At 43.0% G+C, this 18,927-nt stretch overlaps 1 non-coding gene and 2 pseudogenes across 3 annotated transcripts in view; 2 read left to right on the top strand and 1 right to left on the bottom strand.

The window, feature by feature from the left end:
* ANKRD36BP2 (ankyrin repeat domain 36B pseudogene 2) overlaps positions 1–7,083 on the top strand; it is a 40,695-nt pseudogene extending 33,612 nt beyond the window's left edge. Inside the window, exons 13-17 of the transcript NR_015424.1 lie at positions 1,586–1,792; positions 4,867–4,937; positions 5,274–5,367; positions 5,866–5,895; positions 6,810–7,083. The product of NR_015424.1 is annotated as an ankyrin repeat domain 36B pseudogene 2 (transcript). The remainder of the gene's footprint in view (positions 1–1,585; positions 1,793–4,866; positions 4,938–5,273; positions 5,368–5,865; positions 5,896–6,809) is intronic.
* A 3,554-nt stretch (positions 7,084–10,637) lies between these two features.
* MALLP2 (MALL pseudogene 2) lies at positions 10,638–18,916 on the bottom strand (annotated as a pseudogene). Its single transcript, NR_187233.1, has 2 exons — positions 18,761–18,916; positions 10,638–12,182 (listed from the first exon to the last, which is right to left on the bottom strand). The product of NR_187233.1 is annotated as an MALL pseudogene 2 (transcript).
* On the top strand, positions 12,857–12,941 carry MIR4436A (microRNA 4436a). The gene has a single exon (NR_039635.1). It is a non-coding gene; the product is annotated as a microRNA 4436a (primary transcript).

The following is an 18,927-nucleotide window of genomic DNA, read 5'->3' on the forward strand; positions in this document are numbered from 1 at the left end:
GCTTATCAATAAAATAAAGACTGCTTGCTTGTTAGAAATTAAGTTGGGATTGTGTCATATTTATAGATTAATTTGGGGAGAATTGACATCTTAACAATAGTAAATCTACTCCTCAATAAAATATATGTCTGCTTTTGTAGAGGTAATATTTAATTTTTCTCAGTAGTATTTTGTAGTTTTTCGTTTATAGGTCTTTTCATATTTTATCAGATTTATCTGTATTTCATTTTTGATGAAGTTGTAAATGATAGTTTAGTTACTGTAGATGAATTTGACTTTCTTTATACAGGTTGAGCATTGCTAATCCAAATACACATGTTTATAAAACTATAGAAAATGATAGTTTTAAAATTTTCATTTGATTGTTTATTGCTAGCCTATAGAAATACAGTTAATTTTTCTATATTGAATTTGGATCCTTCAATCTTGTTAAACTCACTTGTTAGTTCTGGCACATTGTTGGTAGATTTGATCAGATTTTCTTCATAGACCAAAGGTTGTTAAACCTTTCTTTCTCAAACTACCCTCTTACTAAGGATAGTGAATATTTTAGACTTGTGGCAAAAGGGTCTCTTTTGCAGCTGATAAACTCTGCCATTTTAGGATGAGAGCAGCCATAGATCATCCATAAATTAATGAACACAGCTGTGTTCCAATAAAAGCTTATCAGACAAGAAGCTGGCCCACAGGTTGGGGTTTACCCATACCTATTGTATGGTCATGGTTGTGTATAAAGACAATTTTATTTCTTTTTTTAAACTTGGATGCCTCTTATTTCTTTTTCTTGCCTGACTGCATTAACTAGAATCTTCAGAACAATGCTACAAACAAGTAGTGAAAGCAGACATTCCCATGTTCTTCCTCATCTTATGGGAAATGCATTCAGTTTTTCACTATGATGCACGTTAGCTGTAGATTCATCATAGACATTGTTTATCATGCTGAAGAACTTCCCTTGGATTCTTATGTTGCTGAGAGTATTTCTTCTTTGAAACATCAGGAGTAAATTTTATCAGGTGCCTGTATCTGTTGGGATGATCCTATGGGTCTTCTCTTTTAGTTCGTTTTATGGTAAATAATGATGATGTTTCAATGTTAAGCCAACCTTCCATTTCTGGAATAAACCCCATTTGTTTATGATGTATTACCTTTTTATTATACCATTGGATACAATTTACTAAAGTTTCATTTAGAATTTATTATAAAGACTTTTATTTTTTAGACCAGTTTTATGTTCCTGTCAAAATTGAGAGGGAGGTTCAGATATTTTTTTGTATACCCCCAACCCAATACATGTTTAGCCTCCTTCATTACCAGTGTCCTTCACCATAGTGGTAGTTGCTATGATAGATGAGCCTAAATTGACACATCACAATCACCCAAAGCCCATAATTTGCATTGGGGTTCACTCTTGGTACTGTACATGTATGGATTTGGACAAATGTACAATGATGTGTATCCATGTTATATAAATTATTTTGACTTCCCTAAAAATCCTCTGTGCTCTGCCTATGTATCTTTTCCTGCTGTCTCTTAAAAGGAAAGATTTTGTCAACTAAAAAAACAAAATATGTTGCTTCAACAGCAACTGGATGATGCTCGCAACAAAGCTGACAATCAAGAAAAGGCAATACTTAATATTCAAGCCAGATGTGATGCTAGAGTACAAAACCTTCAAGCTGAGTGCAGAAAGCGCCGTCTTTTACTAGAAGACAGTAAAAGGTTGGTAAATGAATTGAATCATTTGAAAGAAAAAGAACGCCAATATGAAAAAAAGCAAGCAGAAAGAGAAGTAAGTATCAAGAAAAATAAGTATTTTTCAAACTTCCTGAAGTAAAATTTAAAGTAATATTTGGTTACAGCTGAATGTTGGATCTAGTTGAATATAAAAAAGATACATATGATAAATATATCTGCTATATCAGCTTAGAAACATTCCTTTTTTCCAGCAAGTCAAAGTTAGAACTGAGAGATGCTTTCCTCTGATTAAAGTCAATGTGTCACTTATAAAATTTTAAGTTATAAAATGTTAATATAGACTAATATTAATAATGTAGTCTTATACTGCTGAAATAATAATTTTAATGTATTTATGTTGCAACATTTTAAGACCATGATAAATCAGATATATGGAAATGCTCATACCTAAAATGGTATTTTGAAATTGATTCAATTAAATGGGGTACTTTGACAGTTAATTTCAGATTTCCTAGATGAACTGAAGTGTATTCCCTATTTCATAATTACTTTTCTTCAGTAGCTTGAAATATGTCTTTGTTGGTAAAATTTTGTTTTTCTTCATGTCAATTTGACTTAAATCTGAAACTATTTCAATCTCAAATTATGTAGAGATATGATCATTCTATTCTTTAAAGGCGTCTAATTTTACTTATATTATAATATGGGGAAAATGCAGTAAATTTTAGCCAAATCATGTTTGATTTTATCTTCCCACTGGCATTTATAATTTACTTTCAGTTTTTAAACAAAGAATTTGCTCATAATTTTTATTTCAAGGCTCAATTACTATCATTTGGATATAACTTTGTCCAGGACAAAGAGAGGCATAGCTATCTGTGATTTATTAGTTTGACACTGGATCCCCGTTTTCAGACTAAGGAGGATTTCAGACTAATGAGGAGTGGCAGGATTCACGCAGAGTAGGAATGGAGTGAGTCAGGGAGGAGAGATACAGCAGCTGAGTCAGGGCAGGAGGTGGAGGGCAGGTTACTTAGAGCATCTAAGGCCACTGGAGTTTTACTTTTCTTCTGAGATAGACATCTATTGGAAGGATTTAAGCAGATGATTTAATGTGAGGAACTCTGAGGTTGATTTGAGTTTGTAATAAAAAAAAGAGGGAAATCATTCCACAATGTAGAATTTACCACCATCAGTCTCACCCACATACTCATTTCTTTTTGAGACTTCAGAAGGTTTTTAAGCATTGCAGATTCATCAGGGGAGGAATGACTAGTGGGCTGAATATGCTATGTGAATAACAATACCAGTTTGGCAGGAAGATAACACCTTCTGTATCCTTAACTGGATTCAGTAATGAACAGGGACGTGTACACATGAGGAAAAGAAGGTGAATCGGTCTGTGTGGTGGTATTTTTCAAAGTGTATGCTTTAGAGTTAAATATTATTAATGGTTTAATAATAAGGTGATTTGTAAAATCAGTAACAAAAATAACATCAGGTAGCTGTGAGACAGCTTTAACAAAAATGAGATGATGTCTTAAACAAACAATCAGCAACAAAAGCTTTGCTGGATGCTTCATCGCGTCACTGCATCTATTTAGAAAATGAGATGCAGGATTCAAGGAAGAAATTAGACCAGATGAGAAGTCAAGTATGTATGCAACTTTGCACGCCAACAACTGTTAATCTGTAGCTGGTTAACTAATATAAAGTGTTTTGGGGTACTAATTTTAGTGGATGGCTTTCTTTTGTATTTTTATTATAATTAATTTTATTAAAATTTTATAGTGGATGGCTTTCTTTTGTATTTTCCTTATTATTAATTTTATTACAATTTTATTATAATGCCACCTATACCTTAATCTCTGGCTTTCATTCTGCCGTTTTTTATACATATGTTTTTTTCTTAAATATTTAACCTTAGGAAAGTTGAGAATTATGCATCATTTCTCACATAAGTTGAGAGAGTTTTTTTTCCTGTTAAACAGTCTATTTTTAATGATTTCTCTATTGGCATGGTGAGGCAAGCCAGATTAATTCAGAGGATAATGTCTAATGGAATGTTTCAGAAAATTATCTTATTTTTAGTCTCTACTTTTCTGAATGTATAAAGAACGTGTGTATACTTATTTCATAGATTTCAGGTTAACTTGTTCAGAAAGGCCATTTTACTGAATAAATTTTTATTTCGATGAAAATCCTTACTCTCTTTGTATTGGGCTCAGAGAGCACACTCTGTCTCTATATGAATATGGACAGTTAGCATTTGCCAACATGTATCTATTTTCTCTTATTTATAGAAAAAGCTAAACTAAAATGGGGGTTATAGAAGGTCAGCAAAGGATGGGTTTGAGATGTTTGGGTTGGTTGAGTGGGCATTTAGACAACAAGCCTTCTCCTTTGGCGTGTTTAATGGACATCTTTGCAGTTTAAGATGATGCTTTTAAATTACTTCTCTCCTAATGATGACTTGAGTCCTGCTATTCAATGGGAGAGTCAATAAGATCCTGTAGGATCTTATTTGGAACTGACTTTGTCGATTTTAATTTTGTTCCTGCTTGTTTTTAAATTTTCTTGTTGTTTCCCTAGAAAGGAAAGATGACGCTTGGTTTTAAATATTTAAAAATGTGCAAGTTGCTTTGCTATAATAAAACTAAATGCATACATACAAAAAATAACATTATAGTTGATGTGGTAGTGTTTGGAATTCAAAATATAAATGCTTAGCATGAGGTAATCCTTTATCTTTCCACATTTTACCAGTTTGTAAGTTTGAGTATGTAACTGATAAAATGTAATTCAAAAGCAAGAAGAATGTTGTGTTTCAGTCCTAGAGCAGGGGTCAGTGAACTTTCTGTAAAGGGCCAGATAGTATTATTTAAGGCTTTGTGAACCATAAGATCCTTGTTGCAATAACTCAGCCCTGTAGTTATAGCACAAAAGTAGCCATTAACGATATGCAGATTGAAGGGGTGTAGCAGTGTCCCACTAAAATTAATTACAAAAAACAGGTAATGGGATGATTTCTCCTACATTATGACCTTTTTTAAATAAAAAAGATTGTGATAGTCTAAAATATTTTATATATATTTTGTTGATTCATTCATCTACTGATGGACATTTAGGTCATTTCTAAATGTAATTTTTTTTAATTCTTTGTTTTAGCTTCAAGAAACACAGGATCAACTTACAGCTACTATAAGATGTACTAAGGGGATGGAAGGCGACGCACAAAAGTAAAATTTGAAGCAGCGCACAAAATAACTTGAGTATTTATAAAGCAAAAGAGCACTGTAGTATGAAAATTGTATCAGTTATGATAATAAGTATGTCTTTGTGAAGCCAAAAAAGTTTCATTTGTAAGCTGTATTGAAATACATCATTTTTCTACATTATTCCTAAATTTTGCATATTATCGACAAAACACAGTTAGAAAAATGACACAGTAGCCCAATCATCTACTTTTGTGATCGCTAAGAATTTGTGTAATTATACCTTCAGAAGTTTGTTTAGAATTTACATGATAAAAAAAATTATGTGTGAGAGTAATTATTTTAAAATGCACATTTTAGGCTTGAAGTAGAAAATGCCATGATGAGAAAAACTATTAAAAAACAGGATGACCAAATTGAGCGACTTGAGAAAATCCTGCAGCGTTCAAGTTTGGTAAGCTGATCTCTTAATTTCTGTCATACTGAAAAGGAATTTTATTTTTCCAGTAGGATGGGTTAAATATCCCTTGTCCAAAATGCTTGGGACCAAAAGTAGATTTTTTTCAGATTTTGGAATATTTGTATATACCTAATGAAATATCTTGGGGAAGGTACCTGAGTCTAAACATGAAATTCATTTATGTTTCATATATACCTTATGCACATAGCCTGAAGGTAATTCTCTACAATGTTTTACAGTAATTTTTTGCAGGTAACAAAGTTTTTACTATTTTCACCAGAGCCTGTCACATGAGGTCAGGTGTGGAACGTTGCAGCTGTGGTGTCATGTCCGTGCTCAAAAAGTTTCAGATTGTAGAGCATTTTGGATTTCAGATTTTTAGATTAGGGATGATCAATCTACAATACAGATGCTCCTTGACTTACAGTGGGTTTACATGATAATGTCTCTTGTTTGACTGAAACATTATAAGTAATATTTGCTTTATTTCAGATGCCACAGGTGTTCAAGAGCTAGATGAAGGTATGTTGCCAAAATTTATGAATTAAATTCAAATCATTGATTTCTGAAATAAACTCTAAGTAGTGAACGGTATTCCTCTCAATTGTTTGGTTAATAAATGCTACATTAAATATTTTTTCTTACACACATCTAGTGAAAGATGTGAAAACATAAACATTCATAGTGAAGAGTATACTTATGCTTTGTTAATTCTTCATGTTCCATAGCTTTAAAAAAATTGCAAGAAGTCTGTGTATCCCTTTTTTTCTGGCCCTACACTTTTCTTCTGCCACCCCTATAGAACTGTCAGCCTGCACACTGAAACTGTTCTCAGAAAACAAAGGCATCATCAACTTCTCAAGGTTAAGGTAGTGATTTAAGGCTAACAGACCCCACACTCATGTGATAATAATTAGTTAAGCAATTACAGGTCACAAGCAGTCACTTGTCCAGTGACATTTTAAATCTCTAGTCATGACTTTGTCATTGGTTTACTTTTGCCCCTGGGAAAAGTTGAAAATTCCTTAGCATGGAATCAAAACTCTCACATCAGTGTGGTTCTTGTCAGGTTATTCAGCCTTCTCTTTCGCCACTTACCATACTCTGCACCTTTGTTCTATCATCCAGCCAAACTAGACTACATGGAGCTCCACAGTGATCGTCTTCACCTCCAGCTCTTTGCATTTACTTCTTCCCTCTATCCTACATGTGTTTTCCTTCCCTTTCAGATATCAACCTATGAATTGCCTCTACCAAAAAGCCTACAATATTGACACAAACCTGGGCTAGTATCCCTTCTATGTCTTCTAATAAGTGCTGTCTTATGCCTGTCACTGTATGTATGACTCTGTATGGGAATTGCCTGTTTGTTTTTTCAGATTATAGCAAACAGTTGTTGAGGGGTGGACCATATCATCTTTATCTTGTAATTCCAGTGCTTGTCCTAGTACCTTAGCACATGGTTGCTGAATACATGAATGAAGAGTGAGAAACCAGAAGCTCTGATATTTAACTGCCGTGATAATGAATTCAATGTGCAACTATGGGCAAATTGTATTTAATAGTAATTGCATATTGTACATATTTTTCATTCTTATTAACACTGATAAACTTTTCAACTTATACTGACTTTAATAAAATTGTATTACTAGGCTATTAACATGATATTTTGTTTCCCATTAAATGTGACATGCAAAGACGTTTATTAAATGAAAATATTTTTGTATCTTTTATGTCTGATGAAAATTTATATTGTGTTTTAAATGATGTTTCTTGGCCTCTTTAACTTTTTATTTTTTTATTATTATTTTTTTTGAGACAGAGTCTGGCTCTGTCGCCCAGGCTGGTGTGCAGTGGCACGATCTGGGCTCACTGCAAGCTCTGCCTTCTGGGTTCACACGGTTCTTCTGCCTCAGCCCCCCGAGCAGCTGTGACTACAGGTGCCTAGCTAGTTTTTTTGTATTTTTAGTAGAGATGGGGTTTCTCCATGTTAGCCAGGATGGTCTCCATCTCCTGACCTTGTGATCTGCCCACCTCGGCCACCCAAAGTGCTGAGATTACAGGCGTGAGCCACTGCGCCGAGCCTGAAAATCTTATTACCTAAATAACTTCCCACTCCACTCACACCCACAATCTTTCTACAATCCACATTCTCTCCTGAGACAAGAGCTTGGGAAGTTCCGTCTTCTCTGCAGGCCTGAGGGAGGACCAGGCTTTGGAGGGAAGGCCCTGGTGGGCCTTTGGAGGAAGTGGAAGGTGGGAAAGCGCACTTCTACCAGGCTGCAGTGCATTTGGCTGCATGTATCGTGAGCTGAGCATAGTGGGGAATGGATTTTGTCATCTTGGACTTCTTATGAAGTTCAAGCAAAGAGGTGGCTGGTGTTGGTCGAACAGCTGTTGGCATCTGGGCTTCTATTTTTGCCATCTCTTTGGCCATGAAGTCCTTGTCCAAGGCAGGAAGAGGAGGTGGCAGTGTAGTGGATGTGGTGGCACCCTGCCCAGGTTACCTGTTCAAGCCAAGGCATTCCCTACAGCTGCTGGGGAGAGCAGCTGCTACAGATGCCTTCACCCCTGCCTGGGAACTACCGGCTGACATGAGAGACGAAGGCTCTGCCCACTTGACTCAAGGCAGGGCAGCTGCAGGGCCAACCAGCTCCAGAGCTCCCTGCAGTGTCAGCCACAGCCTCAGTTGCAACCTCATTGTCAGCCAGCTTTTCCCACTGCCCCATCCTGCCTCCCTCATCTGTCCCAGGTGCATCTCCTGAAAGCCTCCAGAGTAAACCTCCTGTATGCACAGGGCTCTCTGTCTCAGAGTCTGTCCCCGGAAAGTCAGTCTAAGACAGCCAGCTGTATCTGACAACCATATCAGGAAAGCAACCCTAGCCCTGGAGCAGACCTTGGCTTTCTCTCAGTGGCCAGAATTGAGCCCTGGCTGCCAGGGAGCCCAAGCATAGTACAATCTCAGGTGTGTGCTAGCAACGGAGAAGGCAGGAATGGGTGTCCAGGGCACTGACTGTCACAGAAGTTTCAGACACTTAAAACCACACATTTAATTTATCAAATCACCTGAGAAGACAGAATGCCCCGGGACAGTTAATGTTCCTGGGATGATGTTTTGCATGTTCTGATAAACTGGGTCTCTCCTTTGAAAATGTCTTATGGCTAAAGGCTGAGATGAGGAAGAAAAGGTGGAGAAATACAGAGGTTGGCATTTAAGAAGCCTTGATCTAAGTGTTGATTGCAATGTGTTCTGGATGTGAAATCTAGGCTTTTCCTCATCTGTCAGATGAGGACGTGATGCCTCTGAGGAGTGGCTGTGACCCAACAAGGGAGGCAGCATTGTCATTGTGCTAAGCAGGGCTCAGGATGGCCAGGCAGGAATGAGGCTGGGAAGAGAGGACTGGGGAGCAGGGTGGAGTTCCTCGGGGCCTGTGGCAGGCAAGGCAGGGCAGGGAGGAGACAAGGCAGGGCAGGGAGGAGACAAGCCAGAGATACTCCACCTGGCTAGAATCTCCCACAGGCGTGGCCCAAGGCACAGAAACTGGGGTGGAATGAGGGTGGACTCTGGTCAGTGGGACTCAGTAAGGTGGGTTGGAACCAGTGAGCTGGATGTGTGGCCCTTCAGGGGATGGAGATCCTAGATGTGGACTCAGAAATCAGTGTGTTTCCTGGACCCTCCTGACAAGTAAGTTAGAACAGAAGAGGCATCTATGTGGGGCCTTGACTCACCCCAGGTATTTTGCCACTAGTTTCAACATTCCTTCTCTGAGAACACAAACATACATGGGAGATAGAGGTGTTTACAATCCTATTTCCTACCTATACACAAAGCCCTGGGCCACTGAATCAGTAAAATTTATGGTGATTAAGCCTCTGCACAGGGGTGGTCCAGTATCACCATGGAAACATCACACCCTTCTCCCAGCCCAGGAAGTGATGGAGGGTGATGGGTAGGCACAGTGTCAGGAATCAGGCTTAGACAGAGGCACGTGCAGCACTGGAGATGACTGATGGAGGGAGAGAGAGGCTCTGGAGCAAGGGAGCTTATCACCTGCTGGTGTCCCAAGGAGGACCAGATCCAACTGAGTGAATCTAGCAGCACAAATTGGGATCTGAGCTCTGCAGATGTGGGGGAGGAACTGGTAATGCTCCCTCATAGTCCCTCCCTTTGAACAGGAGCTGGCCTTTGACTCTCAAGTCCAGCATCTAGTTATTACTGAGATGTGCTTCCCTGAAGATTCCTTCTGGGGTGGGAAGTAGGGCTGCCAGTTTCTCTGCGGCAAACCCCAGAGATTAGGATGTTGTTTGTTTTTCAAATTTTAACATTTTATTGTGCTTTTTCCTCTATCTTTTAAAGATCAGAGCCCAGTTATTGGCCAAAGCAGAGCCTCTGGCTGTCCTGGACAAAGCTGCCAGTCAGAGCTGCTTGCTCAGTGTGGGGCATCTGGTGTGACTGGTGGGACCCTGTGTTTCAAGGTACTGCGCCCCAGCGCCCAGCACATGCTGGGGCCTCAGGAGATGGTTGTAGGATATCTGGGTCTAAGTTTCCCCCAAAGCCAACCCTGAGATAAGACTTGGGTGCAGGATCCTGGGAAGCCCAGGGGAAACCACAGGTGCAGCGCCTGGAAAAGAGAAAGCCTGTGAAGTTTACGCCAGAGCCCACTCCAGCTGGGGCCTCTGATGAGCCTGTGGAGAGCCTCGGGGTGTTCCCTTCAGAAGACGAGAGCCTGGGGAGACCCCTACACTGAGAGGAGGGCTGCCCCTCAAGGCAGAAAGGTAGTAGCACTGCAACAGCTGCAGGTGCACTCTGGGGGCCCAGGCTGAGCCTCTAGTGTCTGTACAGGGGATGGTAGGCCAGTGTTTGTTGAGACTTGGACAAGTCTTGCAATGTGGCAGGAGATGATGGCCAATGTGCAGCAGAGAGCCATGCAGGGGTCAGCTCTCCTCCTACTGAGCCCTCTTCACCTCTCCCAGCCCCTACTGGTGCACTCCCATTTTTGCCTAAGCTGTGTGAGTTTGGTTTCTGGAACTTGCACCCAAACTGTCCTTACTGAAGTGGAAATGACATTATAAACCCAAAGCCTTGGAGACAAATGTGACCTCCCTTCACTCTTGCTCTAGAAGCAAGGCTGGGTGGGCTGAGCTCCCATGCTCAAAACTTGTGTTGTGAAATGCTCCAAGGGGTGCTTTTTGTGAAATTACTGACAGCACCTAGGACCTGATGGCCAGTTCCAGATGCTAACAAGATGAAGTCGACCAACTGCTCCTTTTTACCACACAAACAACTTTTATTTGCATGTGGCTACTTAGTAAATATTAAACAGTGATCATCCTAGACAGCTGCCCGGCAACAAAAGGGAGACACATGGTGGCTTTTCAAGGTATCAGGTTGCAAAAAAAAAGTATTAGAGTGATAGAAAGTGAGCAGTGAGCAGTAATGAAGCCAGAATTTTCTTTCCCAGGACTCCTGTAGTTCTGTCCCTGCCCCTGCAAACCCCAGGAGGAGAAAAAGGTTGATACTAAACTGTAAGCACTCGAATCAGTTAAGAAGCCCCTTTCTCATAATTTATTTCATTCCAAATGACAGAAGGCAAGTGCAGTTACAGGGCTGTGCCCTACTCATCTGGGTCAGCAGAAGAGCACAGCTTTCTTTAGAAAAACATTTACTTTAAAACCAAGCACCTTGATTTGATATTTTAGTGTGCACAACTTTGCCCGTTGAGCCCTGGCCCAACCCGGTGGGCACCACCATTCTGCCAGGCCTCGAAGGGCCACAGGGTGCTTAAGAGAATGTGAGGGGGTGAGTGCAGGTGGAGGAGCGCGGTCCCCGGGACATGGTTCCTTCACTCCTCGCTGAGATGATGCGGCAGCCTTTTCTTCCAATCCAGTTGTGGCAGGAGAATCCTTGGATGTAATGTTTTCACCTTCTTCCCTGAGGGTCTTTTCTGAGGAACCAGGCATTTTCTTGTCCTTAAGAGGTGGGGTCTTGGAGTCCTGACCCAGGCGTCCGGCAGCTGCACAGTTTCTGAGATGTCAGACTCATGGAGGAGCAGGCTATGCCCTTCCCTCCCCATTCCCCACCCCTCAAGCCCCAGGTCTTACTGTATAATGATTTATTTTCCACACAAATCTACCCTCAAAATTGGCTTCATGCAGATTTTCCTTGGATCCCAATGCTGGAGAGGAAAGGGGAGGGGAAGTGGGAGGGTGGTGGGCAGGGTGGCTTGACCCTGCCAGCCTCCCCGGGAACTCAGGACCATGGCTCCCCAGCACAGGCTGAACAAGTACCAGGAGCAAGGTCTGTGGATCTGCATTAGATCTGAAGGCCTTGGTGGCACTTCTTCAATTTTAAGATAATCAGGCTGAGTATTCCCCTGAACCTACTCTAGGGAAGCCCACAGCTGAGGCAAAATCCCCAAACAGGCTTGACAGTGGAGCTGGGATTCTCAACAGTGAGGGCTTTCATGTGAGTTTGCTAGAAGAGGAAGTTCACGGTCAGATAATTCCAAGAGACAGTTACTTTCCCAGGAAAAGGAAAATAAAGGCTTCCTCCTATTCAGTAGAGTGAATTTAAATGTCCAAAGTGTGGTGTCATCGCTTAGTCTGCAAGGAAGCTCTGTTAATCCTGTGGATGTTTTAGTGGATCTTCTGTTTATCATCCAGATGGCAAGCATTGGAAGCTGCTTTCGGGGAGAAATAATCAGGGCTTTCAAAGAGTATTTCCCCCTTGGCCTGGTGCCTGTGCATCAGTGGTAATAGATGCTGAAGGCATGGAGAATGTAGAGCAGCATGGTGACGAAGGCGAAGAACTAGAAGGAGGTGGAGAGTGACTGTTAGAGACAGCAGTGCCAGCTCCTGCCCACCCCCAGGGACCCTCAGCCCCGCTGCCCAGGAGCCCATGCATGACCCTGCCTCCTAGCCTCCTGCCTGGCCTGAGGGGAGCAACCCCTGGCCGACGACTCCCTCTCCTGGAAACTCTCCATCAGGGTGTCCCTGGGGCTATCCTGGTGTCCTGCCCTGACTGCAGTCTCCGTCTCATCTGCACCTGGCTGTGAAGCAGGCTTGCCTCCACCCCGGCCCTGGGTCCATGTCCCACGCTGACCTCCTGCCCAAGGCCCACTCTCCTCTGCCCACCTCCAGAAAACCCATGCTCTGACTGCCCCTACAGCTCCACTCACTGGCCCAGAACTCTGCTCTGAGCAGCTCCTCAGCTCTTTGTGAATGTTCAGAACTCCTCCAGCTCTTCCTGGCTCACACTGAGCCTCTGATGTTTCTTCACAAGCCTCACAAGCCCAGTGGGCCCCAGGTTCCTCTTCTTGCCCTGCTCTCTGAGCCTGATGCCTGTGGCCCCTGACTCCTCCTGCCTCCCTTGCCAGCCATGTGCAAAGCCACCCCAAAGGCTACTGATTTCCCTGCCTAGCTCATGGGACATGAATTTCTCCCTTGTTTCAGCCACCGGCATCCCAGGCCAGGACTCCTCATGGCCTCACTTTTCCACTTATGCCTGCCCTGCCCCTCGAATCTGCTCCACGATTTGGGCAGGACAGGCAGAAGTGGATAAGTGAGGACACTTCTCACTCATGGGGAGAACACGACTGTGTTGCCCCATGTTGAAGCTGTGTGATGGCTCTGCTCTTTTCTCAGGGTAGGGGCCGTCACCTTCAACACCTTTCGGGTCCTGCCAACCATCCCAGCCCCACTCTGCCCCACTGTCCACTCACATGCTCCTCATTCATTCAGTCAGTCAACAAATATCTTTTAAGCACCTGCTTTCCTTCAAGAACAACTGTGGGTATAACAGTGAAGAAAATATTCAAAAATTCCTGCCCTCATGGAGCTTACATTTGAGAGATAAGAAGCAGATGGCAGCAAGATAATAAGTAGCACATTCGTGGGTTAAATGGAGTTAAATGCCTGGGAGAAAATGAAGCAGGGAAGCGAAAAGCGGAATGCCAAGGTCTCAGGGGAGGGGCCATCAGGGAAGGCCCTGTCAAGATGACAGAAGGAGGCAGGAGTCACCAGGCAGTTACCCCTGCCAAGGTCCCATGCGAGTGCATGTCTGTGTGCCCATGGGCAGTGAGGAGGGTGGTGTAGCTGGGGCAGCTGACCATGGGTGAACAGCAGGGGGCCTTGCTGGGGACAGGCTGGCTCATGGAGGGCCCCAGGGGTCACTTCTGGACTTGCAAGTTTAGGTAGTTAAACTCACCTGATGAGGGGGGAAGGGAGGCAGACAGGCTGGAAGGCAGCTGAGATATTTTGTGGCCACCCCACAGGGTCACAGTGCTCCCTGGAACCCCATACTTACTCTGAAGACAGCACCCCACCATGTACCCCTTCCTTCTGCCATGGCCACATGAGCCTGCAAGAGCTGCCAGGCTGACATGGGGCTTTCTGGCCACAGTGACTGATCCAGGGATGGGAAGAGATGTAGCCTTGGCGTTGGAAGTTTTCAAGGTAGGATTCAGGAAGGTTAGGCCACTCTGCTATGGTTTGGCTCTGTGTCCCCACCCAAATCTCATCCTGTAGCTCCCATAATTCCCATGTGTTGTGGGAGGGACCCAGTGGCAGATGATTGAATCATGGGAGTGGGTCTTTCCCGTGCTGTTCTTGTGATAGTGAATGGGTCTCATGAGATCTGATAGTTTTAAAAACGAGAGTGTCTCTGCATAAGCTCTCTTTTTGCCTGCTGCCATGCATGTAAGATGTGACTTGCTCCTCCTTGCCTTCTGCCATGATTGTGAGGCCTCCCCAGCCATGTGGAACTGTGAGTCCAATAAACCTCTTTCTTTTGTAAATTGCACAGTCTTGGGTATGTCTGCATGCACAGTATTGGCAGCGTGAAAATGGACTTCAAAGGAGGAATGTGTCACTATGAGCTCTCTGCCATGTGAGGGCGCCATCCCACAAGGGAAGGAGAGGAGAGCTGGCTGGTAAGTGGCAGACTCAGGAGGCCCCAGGGGACCTGAAGCCTGGGGGCCCTGCTCTCTCCACCCTGTGGCTGGACCACCTCGCCGTGGTCCCACAACCAGTACATTACCCCTGTAGGGTTCTGTGATTGACACAAAGGACACTGGAATAGTTCAGTCATGCTGAAGGATGTGGGCCCCATTCCAAAGGCAGTAGGAGCCATTGAAGGATTTTCAGTAGAAGAGAGACACCTGTTCCAATTTGTGTTTTGGAAAAAATTCTGCAGACAATGTGGGGGTGTCTAAGAGAGAGGAAAACTGGGGTGGGAATGATAGAAGGTAAAAGAAGACCCCTGAATGTGGGTACACATGTTTACAGGGACAAGCATCCCTCTCCCTGCCCCCATGGCTCCTTCCACTTGAAGGCTCAGGGTCCATACAGCACAAGCAGAGTTAGGCCTCCTGCACTAAACATCCTCCAGCCAAGACTTGCTGTCCACAGCCAGCTCACTCACTAAGGCTGCCGTATTAATGCAGTAGTTTCTCAGGTCCTGGGCCTCAGACATGATCATGACATGTACTTGTAGGACAGCAGCACTCATGTACAGAATGCCAGTGGTCCCGTGGTACAGGCTGTCATGGAAATGCAGAGCAGAGCCACATATGGCCATGTCACTCAGGTGAGCACTTTCCTTTTTGGCTACATAGCTGTAAAGAATGAGCAAATGAGGCAGGCCAGCCCCACAAACTCCTGCTTTTTTTGTTTGCTGTGTGATTTGGTTTGGCTCTGTGTCCCCACCCAAATCTCACCTCGAATTGTAATCCCCACGTGTTGAGGGAGGGACCTGGTGGGAGATGATTGGATCATGGGGGCGGTTTCCCCATGCTGTTCTCGTGATAGTGAGGGAGTTCTCATAGGATCTGATGGTTTAAAAGTGTGATACTTCCCCATTCTCTTCTGCTGCCATATAAGGATGCCTTGTTTCTCCTTCACCTTCCACCATGATTGTAAGTCTCATGAGACCTCCCCAGCCATGCAGAACTGTGAGCCAATTAAACCTCTTTTCTTTATAAATTACCCAGTCCCAAATACTTCTTTATAGCAGTGTGAGAACAGACTAATACAGAAAATTGGTGCTTAAAGTCAGGCACTGCTATAAAGATACCTGAAATTGTGGAAGTGACTTTGGAACTGGGTAATGGACAGTTTGGAACAGTTCGGAGTACTCAGAAGAAGACAGGATTCTGTGGGGAAGTTTGGAACTACCTAGAGACTTGTTGAATGATTTTGACCAAAATGCTGATAGTGATATGGACAGTGAAATCCAGGCTGAGGTGGTCTCAGATGGAGATGAGGAAATTATTGGGAACTGGAATAAAGGTCACTCTTGCTATGCTTTAGCAAAGAGACTGGTGGCATTTTACCCCTGCTCTAGAGATCTGTGGCACTTTGAACTTAAGAGAGATGATTTGGGGTATCTGGCAGAAGAAATTTCTAAGCAGTGAAACATTCAAGATGTGACCTGACTTTTCCTGAAAGTGTATAATCATATGCATTCACAAAGAGATGGTCCAAAACTGGAACTTATGTTCAGAAGGGAAACAGAACATAAAAATTTGGAAAATATGCAGCCTGACCATGTGGTAGAAAAGAAAAACACATGTTCTGAGGAGACATTCAAGCTGTCAGCTGCAGAAATTTGCATAAGTAATGAGAGGCCCCAAGACAAATGGGGAAGATGTCTCTAGGGCATTTCAGAGATCTTCACAGCAGCCCCTCCCATCACAGGCTCAGAGACCTAGGAGAGAAAAATGGTTTTGTGGACCAGGCTCAGGGCCCTGTTGCTCTGTGCAGTCCTGGAACACAGCACCCTTATCCCAGCTGCTCCAGCTCCAGCAGTGGAGGCCAAGGTACAGCTTGGGCCATTGCTTCAGAGGGTGTAAGCCCCAAGCCTTGGCAGCTTACACATGGTGTTGGGCCTAAAGGCAGGCAAAAGGAAAGAATTGAGGTTTAGGAACCTCTGACAAGATTTCAGAGGATGTATGGAAATGCCTGGATGTCCAGGCAGAAGTCTGCTGCAGGGGTGGAGCCCTTACGAAGAACCTCTACTCGGGAAGTGTGGAAGGAAAATGTGGGGTCAGAGCCCCTACACAGAGTCCCCACTGCAGCACTACCTAGTAGAGCTGTGAGGAGAGGGCCACCATCCTTCAGACCCCAGAATGGTAGGTCTACTGGCAGCTTGCACCAGGCACCTGGAAAAGCCACAGGCACTACATGCTGGTTTATAAAAGCAGCTGCAGGGGCTGTACTCTGCAGAGCCACAGGGGTGGAGCTGCCCAAAGCCTTGGGTGCCTACCCTTTGCAACAATATGACTTGAATGTGAGACATGAAGTCAAAGGAGATTTTGGAGTGTTGATATTTAATGGCTGCCCTGGGTTTTGGACTTTTCTGGGGACTGTAGCCCCTTTGTTTTGACCAATTTCTTCCATTTGGAATGGGAGCATTTACCCAATGCCTGTACCCTCATTGTGTCTTGGAAGTAACTAACTTGCTTTTGATTTTACAGGCTCACGGCAGAAGAGACTTCCCTTGTCTTAGATGAGACTTCAGACTTGGACTTTTGGGTTAATGCTAGAATAAGTTAAACTTTGGGAGACTGTTGGGAAGGCATGATTGAGTTTTTAAATGTGAGAAGGCCATGAGATTTGGGAGGGGCTGGGGGTGTAATGATATGGTTTGGCTCTTTTTCCCCACCCAAATCTCTTCTCTAATTGTAATCCACATGTATCAAGGGAGGGACCTGGTGGGAGGTGATTGAATCATGAGGCAGTTTCCCCTATACTGTTCTCATGATAGTGAATGAGTTCTTATGGGATCTGATTGTTTAAAAATATAGCACTTTCACCTCCCACCTCTCTCCTGTTGCCATGTAAGGCGTGCCTTGCTTTCCCTTCACCTTCCACCATGATTGTAAGTTTCCTGAGGCCTCCCTAACCATGAGGAACTATGAGTCAATTAAACCTCTTTTCTTTATAATTTACCCAGTCTCAGCTCGTTCTTTATAGCAGTGTGAGATTAGACTAATACACCGTGTTTTAAACGTAATGTCTATGTCATAAAAAATGGCAGATTAATAAAGATCAGTATGTTTCAGTTATCCAAAGTCAATCTTGGTCTGACATATTAAATGAAAAATTCCAGAAATTAACAATTAAATGTTTGCCTTTCTGAGTATCATGATGAAATCTTGCACTGTTCCACCCTGTGCCACCTGGGACATCATCCCAGTGAATCATCCTTTTGTTCAGCACATCTACACTGTCTGTGCCACCCATGTTAGTCACTTTGTACCCGTCTGGGCTATCAGATTGACTGTTGTGGTACTGCAGTGCTTACATTCAAAGAATCCTCATTTTACTTCGTAATGGCCCCAAATTGCAAGAGTAGTGATGCTGGCAATTTGGATATGCCAAAGAGAAGTCATAGAGTGCTTTCTTTAAGTGAAAAGGTGAAAGTTTTCAATATAATAAGGAAAGAAAAAAATATGCTGAGGTTGTTAAGATATACAGTAAGAATGAATTGTCTATCTGTGAAATTGTGAGGAAGAAAAAAGAAGTGCATGCACAGCATAATCAGGGTTCAGTACTATCTGAGGATTCAGGCATCCCCTGGGGGGTCTTGGGACTTATCGTCCTGAAATAGGGTGAACCACTGTATACTATCTTAGGTATGCTGAGGAATTGTTAACTTTGTATACATGTGATAATGTGAGAAAGTTTGCGGGGTTTTCTGGAAACATACTGAAGTGTGTGGAATAGAATGACATGATTTCTGGAGTTTGCCTTAAAATTCCTTAGTGGGGACAAAGGCTAGATGAAACAAATGTGGTAAGATCTTGATAATGCTGGAATCTTGGTTATGGCTACATGAGGGCTTATAATACAATATTTTGTACTTTTAAATATGTCTTTAATTGTTCAATATGGAACACTTCTAAATGATTTTTTGAGATGATGCAACAACATAAAAATTAATGATATAATATTAAATGAAAGCATCCACATCCAAAATTATTTGTAGCATATTATATATATATATTTTTTGCATAAAATTTATGTGGGATATGGAAGAAATAACCTGTCACAGGGATTGTGATAGGGCCTTGAGAATGGAGTGATTTTTTTCCTACTAGCTTTTTCTTCAGTGTTGCTCCAAGGATTTTACCAGGAAGAAAATTTAGGGGAAACACATCAGAATATGCTTGATCACAGGGCATTGTGTATTCTCCTAACACAGAAGGCAGTGAAGGGGAATACAAGGAATGATTTACTCTTGCAGAGAAATGTCTTCATTTTGGCCTGGTAGTAAGTCTTGGTTCCATAGGAGCCTAGCCCAGGATCCCTCCCTGCCCAGAAAGACCAATTGTCCTCACCCAACCCAGGACATCCACCCAGGAGGAGTTATGCTGCTGGTTCTTACCAGAACTCTCCAGGATTCAAATCCAAACAAGGAAGACAACAGGAACACCAGGGAGATGAGAAACAAGGTGAGTGAGACATACATCACCCATCCTTGCAGCAATGGGTTTGCTACCTGGGTGGTGGCTACCAGGATCCAGACCCAGAACCCAAATATCTGGAAGATAA

This window comes from Homo sapiens, chromosome 2 (assembly GCF_000001405.40).
Source record: "Homo sapiens chromosome 2, GRCh38.p14 Primary Assembly".
NCBI lineage: Eukaryota > Metazoa > Chordata > Mammalia > Primates > Hominidae > Homo > Homo sapiens.